At 38.3% G+C, this 16,013-nt stretch overlaps 1 long non-coding RNA gene across 3 annotated transcripts in view, besides 2 other annotated features; it reads right to left on the bottom strand.

The window, feature by feature from the left end:
* The window catches only part of LOC105377567 (uncharacterized), a 158,458-nt gene extending 143,891 nt beyond the window's left edge, over window positions 1–14,567 (bottom strand). The window contains exons 1-2 of one of the 3 annotated variants that reach the window (XR_007058395.1): window positions 14,247–14,567; window positions 11,604–12,592 (exon numbers count right to left, since the gene is read on the bottom strand). This is a non-coding gene — a long non-coding RNA (uncharacterized LOC105377567). Of the gene's footprint in view, window positions 1–11,603; window positions 13,813–14,246 lie in introns of those variants that run through there. The other 2 variants (XR_001741469.2, XR_007058394.1) reach the window with 2 other exon arrangements.
* Window positions 12,760–12,929: an enhancer, noted in NCBI's record as "experimental_76597 CRE fragment used in MPRA reporter constructs". NCBI's record gives its function as "activates a minimal promoter by MPRAs in K562 erythroleukemia cells, with activity observed for both the introgressed and non-introgressed 4:181320398 variant alleles {active_cell/tissue: K562}" and the evidence as "EXISTENCE:reporter gene assay evidence [ECO:0000049][PMID:34662402]".
* Window positions 15,400–15,561: a silencer, noted in NCBI's record as "fragment chr4:181317681-181317842 (GRCh37/hg19 assembly coordinates)". NCBI's record gives its function as "represses an EF-1alpha promoter that drives an FKBP-Casp9 reporter gene in an ReSE screen in phorbol 12-myristate 13-acetate-treated (for megakaryocytic differentiation) K562 erythroleukemia cells {active_cell/tissue: K562(+PMA)}" and the evidence as "EXISTENCE:reporter gene assay evidence [ECO:0000049][PMID:32094911]".

The following is a 16,013-nucleotide window of genomic DNA, read 5'->3' as shown; positions in this document are numbered from 1 at the left end:
AAAATTTGGGTTTGCATTATGGCTGCAAGTCAAAATACTGCTTGTGTTCCTAGTAATAAATGGCCTGCAATAGCTCAGTCGGAACAAGCAGGCGAGAGGTAGAAACTGTGTCTGGAGGAGCTATGAAGACAGGGAACCACCTCAGACCTAAAAAACCACTCCTAAGTCTTCTTAGATGAGATTCCTCCTTTTGTTAACAACTCCATTATTTCCACAGTGTCACTTATTTTCTTTACATTTAATTCTTATGTTTAAGTTAAGTTCTTAATACAGGAATTTGCACTAATTGCCTCACGATCTCCCAGTTTCAGAAGAGCATTATAGTAAGTATATCTCCTCATAATATAATATTTTCTCTTAATATATTTACTGTATAGTCAAGAGAAAAAAACATAAAATGGGCATAGAATATAATACACTTAAAATACAAAAATATACATTTTGAAAGGTTATCACTTAATTGCTTTAAAAATTAGTTTTAAACCTTTCCTTTTAATGTGTAATTTTCTAATACAATAGCTTATTTCCCTCTAACTAAATTCTATTCCCATAATCGTCAAATCTGCACAAATGCACCTATCCACATGTTTAACTCTTATTTCCTTTTGCCTTAATGAAAACAACATTGCTGTCGCATGGAAAGAACTAGGAAATTGGAAAGTGAGAGAAAAAAAATAATCAGGGGTACTTTGAAAAGTACTTCATCCAAGAGTGGCAGTATGCCTAAAACATCTGGAATAAGGCAGCCTGGGTTTGAGTCCAATTCACATATTTTTGTGATCTTGAGCAAATTAATTTAATCTATCTCAGCCTCAGCTTTGCCACATGCAAATCGGGTATACCAACACTACCTGCATCATAAGTAGCTTCTAATTATTCATTTTAAAAAATTAACAGCACCTGGTACATACACTGGTTAAAATTATTATAACATTTTCTCTCTATCAAAAGCATAGATAATACTATATCATTACTTAAATACTCCTCTCAGCTTATCAGTGAAGAGTTAGGTATTCTGAACTGTGTTCATACAATTAATAAAATATCTTCATCCTTTTCACAGTGAAATATATTATCAAGAATTAAGAATCTTTCGCTGAAAGGTACCACAGAGAAAGGTTTTAAAGTGAAATAACCCAGTTGAAATGTACTTTTCATGATGTTAGAACCCATCTGAGCTTGGAGGGAAATGCCTGTGGAGAGGTCGACATATTAGGTCAAAATTGAAAGTAAAGTTGATTTTTACTCCCACCTTACTTTCCTCTTTTCAGATTCATAATGCCAACCCTTTTCATGTCCAATTACAAAGGCCTGTTGGGGCCAATCAGCATTGAACTGCAAGTCAGATAATCTGACTTCTAGAGCTAGCTCTGACTTACTCTTGTAAACTTGGGTTATTTGTTCAACTTTTCTCAATTTCCTCATCTACAAAATTAAGAAGTGGGCAGGTGATATTGAGGTTCTTTTCAGCTCTAATAGGCTATAATTCTGTTCCATTAATGGATACTTGATTTCCTTGAACAGCTTCAAATTTTATGTAAAATTTCCATTTTGATTAAGAAATAAAAGTGTAACAGGTTGAAGACTCTCAATTCAGTTTTAACATGAGCTCTGGACAGACTCCATATTTCTTATTCCTTTTAATCATTAAACCAACTCCAGTTTAAAGATTGAGCCTCAACTTTAATGTAAATTCCATCCCCTATCTTATGGTTACTACTAGACTGTTGACCTGAAGCTCAGGGGACCTCAGGTTGGAGATGGGACAGTGGTCTGTCTGCTCTTTGACTTCCCCTTTCACCTTTGTATTTGGAGTGAGAAAGAAGAAGGTATCTTTGGTCTAGATTTATGATAATTTCCCTCTTGTTTAATCTACAGCCCAGATCACATAGTGTTAGGGAATGACAAAGGAAATGGGGAAGTGAGAGGGAGGGTAGGTATCTTTGGATATCACTGATAGAAAGGGAGGTCTTACTGTAACTTGGTCTGTTTCTATCTATTACTGGTTGCCATCTTCACACATGACATCTTTAAAGGGCAAGACCTTCTTGCAACATTGACAATAAAAGTTTTCCAATAAGCTAAATCTCAAAGAAGCGTGAAATCATAATACCGATGAATTAGGAAACCCCTAACAATTCTATAAAGAAAGGAATAAGGGAAATACATAACATTTCTTTCTTTCTATAACAAGTTTTGATTCAGTCCTGAAAAGTCCTGGCCAATTGAGCAAAAAGAGAAAGGTCTGATTTGCAATTGAGCACCTATACTATGCCTTGCTTTAAAATACTTTGAATAACAATTTTGTATGTCTCCTTTCTTCGAAGATTAATTACAATTTTTCATTTTTGAAGAACACTGATGAACAATAGAAGATGGGATGACATAGTGATGGTGAATAGGGAATTTTAATTACTCCTAAAAGACAAATAAACATTGTCCAATTAGACCTGGGGTATTAAAATAATGTGATTGTTATGTCTGAATTTTTATTTTTTAAAAGACTACTTTTTTCCTTTGTGAGATAATCTATTATGAGTATTGTTTTCAAAAATGCTTTTAAAAGAAGTTTTAAAGGTTTCATTTTAATCTGGCCCAGAAGAGCAAGATTTTCATGTTTAACACAGTATATGTAGAACTCACGAACGAACAAATGACAATATTGTTCCTGAGAAGTTCTACATTTTATTTTTCTTTAGTCTTATGAAATGTCATAGAGATCATCAGGCTTTGATGGTTGAAACATATCGTAGTTAACTTTTTTTTCCCCTAAACCTTATTTAAAGACAAATTAACGAGTGCCACTTACAGTTACTCATTGATTCTGCTTACCTGTGCTGTTCATAGAGTTAAATGGTAGTGAAACATAAACAGCATATTTGGTGGTTTCTGTGGCCAAGGCCATCAGTACCCAAGATGGCCATGAGGTGTTAGGGGCTGCAGAAAGGACGGATGAGGCTGATACAAAGACACTTATTGGCATCGACCCTCTCTTCCTTTCTTTATTTGCCAACCTCCCACAGGGATATCATTACCAAAGATCTTATCCTGTTTTTCCCCTCGATAATATTGTCTTAGTCTGTTTGGTCTACCATAGACTGGGTAGTTTACAAGGAATGGAAATCTATTTCTCAGGCTACTGGAGGCTGGGAAGTCCAAGATCAAGGCACTGGCTGATTTGATGTCTGAGAAGACCTTGCTTTCTGGTTCATAGATGGAAACTTCTCACTGTGTTCTCACATGGTGGATGGGGCAAGCTAGCTCTCTGAAATACCTTTTATAAGGGAACTAGGCTGGGTGCCGTGGTTCATGTCTGTAATCTCAGAACTTTGGGAGGTCAAGGGCGGATCACTTGAGGTCAGGAGTTCCGGACCAGCCTGGCTAACATGGAAAAACCCTGTCTCTACTAAAACACACACACACACACACACACACACACACACACAGACACGCACACAGACACACACACAAAAGTTAGCTGGGTGTGGCGGCACTGCCTGAAATCCCAGCTACTCGGGAGGTTGAGGCAGGAGAATTGCTTAAACCCGGGAGGTGAAGGTTATAGTGAGCTGAGATTGTGCCACTGCATTCCTCTGGGCAACAGAGCAAGATTCTGTCTCAAAAAGATAAATAAATAAAAGAAAGGAACTAATTCCAATCATAAAGGCACCACCCTCATGATCTAATCACCTCCTGAGGCCCTGCATCCTAATGCTATCACCTTGGGGTATAGGATTTTAACATATGCATCTTATGTGGGGAGAGGACACAAAAATTGATCACAAATATAATATAAATTCCAAAGTCTTCTCATGTAAGTTCTACATATGGAAAAATTATAAAAAACACAGAAAGCTACTTTTTCACTCCAACATTGAAACAAGAGCTGCCTTTTTAATTCCAGAAAGATTCCACCAAACATTCACTGTTTCAGAGTACTCCCCATAGTCTGCTTTATATATTATAAATCCATTGGGCAGGGGAGATTACTGGCTGTTTTACAGCCATTGTCCACTATAGATTCAGTCTTAATAAAAACGGAAGGAAATAAACTATTAAGATAAAACTTATAAGATTTTAGAAATCACATTTATATTTGTATTTGCTTTCAAACTCTTAAATAATTATCAATCAAAATGGGAATTGAGAAGACTTTCTGCTGTTTACAGTGATATAGCCAATTTCAGAGATTTTTCTAGGAAGAATACCCTCTGTTTACAGCTGAGTTGACAATCTTGTCTCATATAGACATTTAGTGGGCAAAACATTCTGCACCTTAACAAGTCCCTAATGCAAACATAAAGAAGACTGATGTCTCAGCAATAACAATAGCACACAATTATGCTCTTTTGTAACATGTTTTCCATGTATGATATTGACAGATAAGAGCTTTATGGCTTAGAGCACGCTTCTTGGGGTTCATATTCTTCAAACTACCTGTCCCGTGGGATCTCACCATTTCTAAAAGGATATATTAGACACTGTGGTAATAAGGCAGACTTTTGTTTACCAGTGTGGTATCACAAACCTTTCAAAAATGGCATGTAATTTGCTTCTCAGCATTATGTCAGTGTATATTGCATAGTTCAATGTGTCTCAAGTTGAGCAGAAGCAATCTGTCAACACTATGACTAAAGCTGCATAAGTGGTTTCCTGTAATATCTGATATGCATATAGACTCCACAGGTTTGCCTGCGTGCAGTGTAGACCTGTCACTCATTTTCTTTACAATCATCTTGTCTGACTGTTTTGGAGGAAAAGCTTTCCAGCTGGCATCATAGGCCGTGGGGTAAGTAATGTAGCCTTTCACATCTGTAAATGAAATTGCTTCTCTTAATGAGTCAGGCCCAAAGTGAGAATGAGTTAGATGTAATCCTCATTCATGCATATAAAGCTACTGACAATCTAGAACAACTAAAGACAGTGTTTCAAAAATTAAAAAAAAAAACCCTAGGCCAAACTCGAGAATTATTTCAACACAGCATTTAAAAAATGTACATAGGGCATGGCTACCTATGATTTATAGCAGCTACTGGAAGCTCTTGTGCAATAATGCCCCCTAGGAAGTAAAATATAATAATCAGGTGTTCTAAAATAGACACAAACAAAATAATATGCAAAGTAAGCAAAGCTGTCAAACCACAAACAAGAAATTTAAGTTAAGAACAATAATGCATTTAGGCTAGCTCTTATTATAGATTTGAAAATAGGTGACATTTCCATAGATTAAAAAACATTTTAATATAAATAATAAATATTTTAAATTTGTGTGATTTCATTTATTCATACCTCAATAGGACAATAATTTGCTGAGGACTTTAGTAAATTATTTTCATTTCATAGTACTTGTGTTTCAGATATTTACAATATGTATATGCATCCATTTAAGAGACATAATAAAAGCCATATACACACCAGTTGATATAATTTGGATATTTGTCCCCTCCAAATCTCATATTGAAATGTGGCCCCCGATGCTGTAGGTGGGGTCAAGTGGGAGTTGTCTGGGTTATGGAGGCAGATCCATCATGAATGGCTTGATGCCTTCCCCACTGTAATGAGTGAGTAGTAGTTCATGAGAGAGCTGGTTGTTTAAAAGAGCCTGCCACTTCTTTTTCTCCTCCTCCCCTTCCTCCTTCTCTCTGACCATGTGACACACCTGCTCCCTTTCCACATCCACCAGGTTTGAAAGCTCCCTGAATCCCTCACTAGAAGCAGTTGCTGGTGTCTTGCTTCCTGTGCATCCTGCAGAACTGTGAACCAAATTAACCTATTTTATTTGTACACTCCCAGTCTCAGGTATTCCTATTCAACAATGCAAAGTGGACTACACCAGCTATTATAAAAATCCAAATTTGAAAATATTGCTATTAAAGTAAAATTTAGATTTTGCAAAGTTTTCTAACTGTAAAGGCAGAGTCCATAATTATTATACCCTTTGGTGAGACTAATAATGCCATAATATTTTGTCCATTTGCAGATTACAGGAAATAATTTTACATTTGCCTAGCGTGATCTCACATACCTTTAGCATGTTTAATATCTATTAGAAATACCTTTCATATACATTTTCTGGAACTTGTGCTTGCCTAGATTATTTCTTGCAGAGCTATTCATGTTTGCAAAGATAGCCTAACAGCAACATAAGAGACACTGGTTCATTCCATGTCCGTTCTTCTTCTGTGTAATTGAGCATGCTCTTGGTACCCAACAGTTAAAAACAACTGATAGATGATGAAGCTGCACAGCACTTCTGAAAATTCACCGCTGAATACACAGGCACGAAAGAAAGCTGGGGGTTATACTACAGTGTTAGAAATGTGCTCTGAGCCTGGGGTAGGTTTAGGCAGTTCACTTAGAAAGGTTAGGACAGACAAAAAAAAATATGGTAGTTAGCAGGAGAAGCCTCAGCTGATTTCTGAAGAACAAGTTGAATGGACAAACACAGGGGAGGCACGCCTTGTGAAAAGCATGGAATGCTGGCGGAGAAGACACACTTTTGAACCTGCAATGGCTTCACTATGCCTGGGACATTCATGCCTATGAGGAAGAGATTGGACATAAAGGCAGGGACCAAAGAGTCAATGTGTCATAAGCAACATGGTAAGAAGTTAAATTTTATCTTGAAAGTAACTGGTGGCGAACTGCAAGAACTTAAGCTGTATGGTGACATAATTCATTTGTGTTACAGAATAATAACACATTTTTACCTGTCTGTCTGTAGTGGGATGAACTAAAAATGATAATGACTGAAGACGATGAGATTCATCAGGAGGAAGCTGTCATACAGTAGATAATTTGTAACCACTGAAGTACAACAATGGATGTTTAGGAGGTAAACTCTATTACTGGGTTATAGTTACTGAACTTTTCTTCCATTTGTCTGTTTTTGTTTTTTGGTGGAGGAGGAGAGAAAAGAAAAGTTTCATTGCAAAGTGAATACATTCTCATTGTGGAATAACCCAAGCAATTTAAGAGTTATAAAAAGAAAATTAAAATTGACTCTGACCTTCCCAGTGTCCTTTTTACCTTTCACATTATACTTTCTATTACATTAATGAAACTTGAGTTGTTTTATATTGTATACAAACAACATTTTCATGAATTAGAAAGATTTGATTCCAAATAATTGTAAGTTTGACATTAATGTATTATTAACTCTTTGTTTTTGAACCCATATATCCTCAGTGGCTGTTCTGCTGAATGCATGTGCTTGGTGCAACTTAGAATACCGCACTGCAGTGTGTAGTGTCTGGTAAACTCTTTGTACCTTAGATGAAATAAACTTCAGATCTAGCAACAATTCAATTATTTACAAGGATGCAGTAGTTTATTACTAGATAAACAAAGCTGAAACAACTGGAAATTTGAGGATTTTAAAAATGTATTCCAATGTTCCAACTTAATTTAAAGTTCTGAAGTTTCCTAATAAACTACTTATTAATGTTAATGAAATATGGGATTAAGATATATTCAGAAAGAATATGCTTTTGATAATCCTAAATATTAACGGATTTATGGCAACAAATTGATTCATAAAGAGCTAATCAAAATTGGACAAAATTGGACAATATGTCATAAATGTGAAATCAATCATGTAAAGTAGAAGGGAAACCAATGAAATACTTTAGAAAGAAAAATGAAGTGAAGTTCAAGCTAACATGTAGCCAGAAATAATGATGAAACAATGGAAATCACAAATATGATTTTCTGATTGTATCCAAGATAAAGTGTCTGCTAGAACAGAAGATGATCACAAAAATAGACTTCCTTAATGGGCTGAAGAAAGTATTACTTTGAGGCCATGAGTTTGGAAATGAAATGTAATAGGTTTCATCTAAGGTTGAAATGAAACCTTTTTCTTCCCCTCATCTACGGAAACTATTCAGTTCTCTTGCTGTAATTCCACATTTATGAAATAATCTTTCTGAATTAAAATTGATTTTTCTAACTGGGAAGTGAGTATGTAATATGAGTTTGTTCAATTGATTAATTAATGAATATTTTTGAACCAAGAATTATTTGACAAATCATAGAACAAGAAAGGGAGAGAAAACAGGAGATTATATATTTTTAAAATGTACAATATAAAATATTAACTAATGTGAAATACAAGGATAGTCCTCTGAAAACTAGCTATAATATAAAGAACATTTAAGAGAATATATATATGTGTGGATATATATATTTACATGTGTATATATAAATACATCCATCAGTAAAAGGAAACAAGAAAATTGTCCCCATTATCACATTATATTGTATTTCTGTGCATGAAGGACAATTACATGAATTTGTGCAATATGAGCTGACTTTTATGATCTGATTAATGACAGACAAGCTAGAAGATCAGAACCAATGTAGCATGACATCAACATTTTTAATGCATTAATTTGACAGTATTAATTGGGCACCTTCTCTGTTCAGAACCTATTCCAGACTAGTAACACAGTAGGGAGTAAAACAGACAAAGTCCCTGCACTTTAACTTTCATTCTAATGGGCAGGGCAGGGAATAATAAACAAATCCATTAAAACACATATCAGATAGTAATAAGTGGTATAACAAAAATACAAAGGAAGATAAAGGAGTACGGCCATGCCACGGTGGGGAAAGGATAGTTACTTAGGTAAGTTGTCTAGGATAACCTCTCTTGTAAGATAAAATCTCAGCAGAAACATAAAAGAAATTTTAGAGAGTGAGCTCTGCAGACAGTCAAGAAAGGGTATTTCGAGCGAAAAGATCTGCAGAAGCAAATAACCCTGATGCAAGAGCATCCTTGGCAGCTTCTGTGACATGCAAGAAGTGCGGTTTATAAGAGAGGTGTGTGCAGGACGGAGGAAGGAAGGAGAGGAGGAGGTCAAGTATGTTGCAGACACCAGGGTAGATTGCGTAGGGACGTATAGGCAGGAGCAGAGCACATCCAGTTTGTCTGGGAATGTGCCTGTTGACACATGTTGTCTGGAAGTGATTACCATTAAGCTTTTTTCCAGGAGAAAGAACACCTAGGTTTGCATGGGAAGTTATATGGATACCCTAATAATAGCTCATTAAAATGATTTTAGCTTTTGCACTTAGCGAAGTGGGAAGTTATTGAAAGATTTTTATCAAACATAGGACAAATCTTAATTCAAATTTTAAGTGACACTTTGGCTGGTGGACTAAACAGACACTGTAGTAGCAAAAGGGGAAAACGAGAAAATAGTTCAAGAAGAACTCTAAAAGAATCCAAGTAAAATTTTTGCTGTGGGCTGGGCAAGGGAATTTCTGTTGGATGTGGGGAGAAGTAGCAGGACAGTTCTTATTTGCTGATAGACTGGCTGTGGGATAGTAGAGAATGAAGAGTCAAGGGTGATTCTAAAGGTTTCGCCCTCAGGATCTAATTGGATGAAGTTGCCATTTACCAAGATAAAGAAGGGTTGGGGTGGATCAGGGGTTTTGGATGGGGAAGTCAGGAGTTTGGTTTAGGTGTGCTACATTTGAGATGTCTACTAGACATCCAAGTGTAACTGAAAGTATGAGGGTATGACTCTAGTGTTTGGGGGGAGGTGTAGGTTGGGAGCTTAAATCTGTAAGATAGTATAGAAAGGCATAAGTCTAGATGAGATCACATAGGGGTTACTTAGGTGAAATGGACAGAAGTTTCAAGGATGGCACATCAATGTTAAGAAGTCAGGAAGATGAGGCCGGGCACGGTGGCTCACGCCTGTAATCCCAGCACTTTAGGAGGCCGAGGAGGGCGGATCACGTGGTCAGGAGATTGAGACCATCCTGGCTAATGCGGTAAAACCCCATCTCTACGAAAAATACAAAAAATTAGCCGGGTGTGGTGGCATGCACGTGTAGTCCCAGCTTCTTGGGAGGCTGAGGCAGGAGAATCGCTTGAACCTGGGAGGCAGAGGTTGCAGTGAGCCAAGATCGTGCCACTGCACTCCAGCCTGGGTGACAGAGCCAGACTCCATCTCAAAAAAAAAAAAAAAAAAGTTACGAAGATGAGAAGAAACCAGCAAGGGAAACAGAATAAATGGCCAGTGAGGAAGCGAGAAAAATGAGAGCAATGGTGCTCCAGGAACCAAATACACTGTTTCAGGAAAGGGTGAGCAACAGTGTCAAATGAGACTAGGAAGGAAAATTAACCTCTGAATTTAAACATTCTGATTAGTAGAAATTTTGGCAGAGTTGTTTCAAGAGCTATTTCAAAGGAATAGCACATGGTGGATATAGGTGACATTTTAAAGGAGTTCTGATATAATTTGGCCGTAGAGAAATGAAGCAACATCTGGATGAAGGGAGGGCTTTTCCTTTAAGGCAGAAAATTTTATCACAGTTTGAAAGCTGGTGAGAATGACCCCGAAGAGGGAGAATAATTGATGTATGAGATAGGAGGGAGATAATTGCTAGAGTAAAATAATTGGGTAGAAGAGAACGATGAGATCTAGTGAAGATAAGAGGGTAGAGTGCTGATGGGAACACAGGGAGGTTCTTCCCTACTTTTTCCTTCTTTCCCTTGCATGGGCACTAAGGTCACCAGCTGCATGGGGACTAAGCTCACCAGCTGCATAGGAACTAAGGTCACCAGCTGCATGGGAACTAAGATCACCAGCTGCATAGGGACTAAGCTCACCAGCTGCATGACGACTAAAGTCACCAGCTGCATGGGAACTAAGGTCACCAGCTGCATGGGAACTAAGGTCACCAGCTGCGTGGGCACTAAGGTCACCAGCTGCGTGGGAACTACGGTCACCAGCTGACAGTGATGATGGGGAAGGGGGCATTAGATACGTTGACAGAAAAAGGCATGAAATAATTACTTAGGGAGATGAAGCATGAGGGGAAAAAAAACAAGAAAGCATAAGAGGGCTACTAAAGAGCGATTAAGAGGCCGGGCGCGGTGACTCACGCCTTTAATCCCAGCACTTTGGGAGGCCGAGGTGGGCGGATCACGAGGTCAGGAGATCGAGACCATCCTGGCTAACACGGTGAAACCCCGTTTCTGTGAAAAATACAAAAACTTCACCAGGCATGGTGGCGGGCGCCTGTAGTCCCAGCTACTCGGGAGGCTGAGGCAGGAGAATGGCGTGAACCCGGGAGGCGGAGCTTGCAGTGAGCCGAGATCGCACCGCTGCACTCCAGCCTGGGCGACAGAGCGAGACTCCGTCAAAAAAACAAAACAAACAAACAAAAAAAAGAGCGATTAAGAGTCATTTGAGCCCAGAGGTCATAAATTTTAAGCAAGAAAAAAATTTATCTTAGGCGCAGAAGAATTAGAAGAATTCTAATATTGGTTTAGGATTTTATAAGGTTAATTTAAAGAAGGAAGAGAAGGGCAAGGGAGCTGGTATAAATAAGGGAATTCCAGAGGGCATAGTTAAGGTGTTTGGATATTCTGGCAGAAGAGGAAGGAAAGATCAGATTAGCGAAGAGGCAGAGAGCCTGTGACTATGAGTGTGAGGATGATGAGGGAATGGCAAGGGTGAGTGAAGAGCTTTTTCGGCGAATGCTTTAGGCAGCACTAATGCACATGACAGGATTGGTACTGGAATAACCAAGCCTCCTTGTGGTAGAGAGACAGAGTAGTTGGGAGCAAGGTATGGGGAACTCACCAGAGCAGGAGTAGCTGTGAGCATTGGCAATTACAACTCTCCATTTAAATGAAGAAGGTTGCACTAAAATGATGGGTCCTTAGTCTTAGGGAAGAAATCACACCTGAAACACAGTGATAAAGTGTGTGGACAATAGCATCATTTGCTGCATTTAGTCTTTCATACAATGAGTTTTTTATCTAGTCTGGGAACTTTCAAACTGTTCCACAGAATCTTGGAGACATATAAAAGTTTCTCCGAGCCACCCTGTAGAAGTTGAAGAAAAACCATTCCAAATGCTTGGCTCCAACCAGAGAAGTTAGGACTAACCTTGTTGTAAAATAAATATGCTGAGATTAATCATGATTTTTAAAAAGTTTTACTATTAAAAATAAACAGACCAAAAAAATTTTAAAAATCATCGATCTTCTCCAAACTACAGGTTATTATTATAACCTTGCTTAAGATTACTTTGCTAGAAAGCGAGGGAGCCAAGATTTAAACAGAAAAATGTCTATTTCTAAAGCTCATGTCACTTTCATTATACTTAAACTCTATACAGGCTTAACTGCTATAGTTATTCCACTATTTTGCACTTGTTACATTTCTTTTACTTTACGTATATGAGTGCATCTGGCCAAAAGTAGTCTGTAATGAATACATTTGCAATTTCTAAGTTTAAGGTAAGCTATTTTTTAAGTTAACTTTTTAAACAAATTATTTTCTCAGGAGACTGAAACAAGTCTTTTTTATTTATCCTTAGAAATTTTTAGGCTTTGGAAGTTTTGTGTGAATACGAAAAAGTCAACACCAAGAGTTGATATGATACTTAATATTGGCCTCTAGGGAGTCATAAGTCCTGGAGGAGTCTCTTGCAATTCTTATGTGACACTAGGCATGAAAAATACAAAAATCAATAATGAGAAGACTTTACCTTAGATCTAGACTGTGAACACCACTCTTGAGAATAGGACCTTGTAGTAATCAAGACATAACCCTGCCGAAGATTGCTAGACCAGACAAAGAAACACCAGGATCATTCTTCTTAAAATGTAAATAGTAAGTAATACCAATTTTCTTCAAGGCAACCACCTTATCAGAGTAAGTCTGCGAAAGACACGGTTGTTTAACAAGTCACCAGGGGAATATTTTGGAATTGAAGCACTAACATCACAGCAACCAGATAGTGTATATGTATATAAACACCTTGTCAAATGTAAGTAGTATTTTTCCCAGTAGACACAGTGAAAAATATACTTCACTCTTGGTCAATTCTAATTGAAAAAATAACTAAATAGCTGCTAGATGAAGAATTCTTGGAAGAGTTGCTCTCCTAGCACTGGGTCTTGCAAGATAATGCCAGCGTCCTGAAGACAAAATTGGGAAGAAAATGAAATAAAAGTGTAACAAAAGATCAGTGAAGAATTAGTGATAAAATCAGCAGGAAATCCAGAGTGCTTCAAACAATAGTTCAACCAGCTGAGGACTGATAAATGGGGGTGGGGGTGCTGGGAAGCCAAGCACGGTGATAAAAAAGCAGTAGGAAAATGGGAAGCACCAGCAGGAAACTATGGAAGCTGCCAAGGGGTCCACTGAAAAGTTAATTGAAGCAACAAGCTGAGAGCTCTGGAAGTCAGAGAGCAGGCTCCTGGAGACAGATGGAGAACAGTGGCAAGAGGAGACTGATGTACCAAGAACGAAGAGAGCAGACAACAGAATGAATGAAGAAGTAGCAACCTCAGCCAAGTCTTGGGTAATACTTGGCCATCGATGAGGGCTACAGATGTAACTCTAACCACTAGCAAACAATCAGAAAAAACAGGCAGCCCCATGTCAGATGGAGCGTAGAATGTGCGTTTGAATGATGTGGAAAAACATTTGTAGTCTTTTCTGTTACACACTCATTTTAATCAACTTAAATCCAATTCCTCACTAAAAGCCAAAACACAAACCAAAACTCCAAGAAATTACTTTGTGCTAGTACAATTCAGAAAAATAATTGATGATGATGTGGTGGCCATGCATTTAATAATAAATTATGGACACTGAAGTTTCAGTCTTTGGGTTTTTGAGACATGATAATGTTGGAGAATAAAAGGAAGTTGAGGCCAGGCACGGTGGCTCACACCCCTAATCCCACCACGTTGAGAGACAGTGGCGGGAAGATCGCTTGAAGGCAGGAGTTTAAGACTAGCTTAGGCAACATAGTGAAACCTGCTCTCTGCAAAAAACTAAAAATTAGCCAGGTGTGGTTGTGCGTGCCTGTAGTCCCAGCTACTCAGGGGCTGAGGTGAGAGGATAGCTTGAGCCCAGGAGTTCAAGGCTGCAGTGAGCTATGATCCACCACTGCACTCCAGCTTGGGCAACAAAGCAAGATCCCGTATAAAAAATAATAATAAAATAAACAACAACAATGGAAAGATGAATTTTTCTGCCTACACGTTCTTGGAAGATGCTAGATTTACACAGGGGTTTCTCTTGCTCTACATGTTTTTATGAAACATACTTGCTGGGAGTATGAGTCAACACATAGGAGAGTTTGTTTGTGGATGCTGTATGTGAAAAGGCACAGGGAACATTAAAAGGGCATGTCAGATCAGACTCCACGAAAAAGATCCTTTAAGAAGCATTTCTTTTTTGGTTCTCACTGTAGAAAATACTCACATTACAAGGAGAGATGTGCAGAACGGAGTATTCGAGCAAGCTCAGCTGAAAAGAGATAACTTCCACTTCTGAATAATCGCATTTGAAAGAGAAACCATTATAAAATATCTTGAAGAATACAGACCACATGTGTTGAATTTGTAGAACTAATTTATTTTTTAGAGTTTTTAAGTGTGTGTTTCTGACTAGCAAACAGGAAACTGGTACTACTGTCATCACTACTATAAAATAAGTGTCATTAGAGAGCTATGCATAATTTCTCTTTTTGATAAAATAAAAAATAAGAGTATTGGCCGGGCACTGTGGCTGTAATCCCAGCACTTTGGGAGGCTGAAGCGGCAGATCACCAGTCAGGAGTATGAGACCAGCCTGGCCAACATGGCAAAACCCTGTCTCTACTAAAATACAAAAATTAGCCAAACCCCATCTCTACTAAAAATACAAAATTAGCCAGATGTGGTGATGGGCACCCGTAATCCCAGCTACTCAAGAGGCTGAGGCAGGAGATTCCCTTGAGCCCAGGAAAGCAGAGGTTGCAGTGAGCTGAGATCATGCCACTGCACTCCAGCCTGGGTGACAGGAGCGAGACTCTGTCTAAAAAGAAAAAAGAAAAAAAAAAACCCAAAAACGTGTATTTTCGTCATTCATTACAAAAAAGTCTCCACCTTTGCATTATTTAACTTATTTATCCAAAATTAAACAAGTTCTCTCAAGACAGTATATATACATAATGATAAAAGAATTAATGAAACAACAAAGTTAGTTAATTAGACTGAAATGAATGGCATTTTAAGCTAGAGAAGAGAGTTAAATATTTTCTTTCTTTCTTTTTTGAAACAGAGTTTTGCTCTTTCACCCAGGCTGGAGTGCAATGGTACGATCTCGACTCACTGCAACCTTCGCCTCCCTGGGTTCAAGTGATTCTCCTGCCTCAGCCTCCTGAGTAGCTGGGATTACAGGCGACTGCCACCACTCCTGGCTAATTTTTTGTATTTTAGTAGAGACTGGGTTTCACCATGTTGGCCAGGATGGTCTCGATCTCCTGACTTCGTGATCTGCCGGTCTCGGCCTCCCAAAGTGCTGGGATTACAGGCATGAGCCATCACGCTCGGCCTAAGTTTTGTATTTTTGCACAGGCAGGGGTTTCACCATGTTGTTCAGGCTGGTCTCGAACTCTTGACCTCAGGTGATCCACCAGCCTCAGCCTCCCAAAGTGCTAGGATTACAGGTGTGAGCCACTGCGCCCGGCCCAAGAATTAAATATTGTCAAGAAGAACGTTGTAGAATCAGCAATTAGATGTGGAAATATCGCATTCTTAAAATAATATTCATTAATATGAATTATTTAGAATGAGTAAGAGACTATATCAATTCTATGAGAAGATTCTAAATTTCTGGCATAATACAAAGTTCTTGATTTTACTGACTTTTTTTGAATATCACAACTAACATTACAACTGTTAACTAATATCATTTTAGAATGTAAGACCTATGAAAATAATTTGATAAAAGATGAACATTGTAAAAAAAGGACAGCCTGTGGTAGCGGGCACCTGTAGTCCCAGCTACTCGGGAGGCTGAGGCAGGAGAATGGCGTGAACCCGGGAGGCGGAGCTTGCAGTGAGCCGAGATCGCGCCACTGCACTCCAGCCTGGGCGACAGAGCGAGACTCCGTCTCAAAAAAAAAAAAAAAAAAAAAAAAAAAAAAAAAAAGGACAGCCTGTTCTGTAGAATAAACTAAATCTCCAGGGTATAAGCTTTTGGATA

Source organism: Homo sapiens, chromosome 4 (assembly GCF_000001405.40).
Source record: "Homo sapiens chromosome 4, GRCh38.p14 Primary Assembly".
Taxonomy (NCBI): domain Eukaryota; kingdom Metazoa; phylum Chordata; class Mammalia; order Primates; family Hominidae; genus Homo; species Homo sapiens.
The sequence above is the reverse complement of the archived record's forward strand: the minus strand, read 5'-3'. Positions and strand labels throughout refer to the sequence as shown.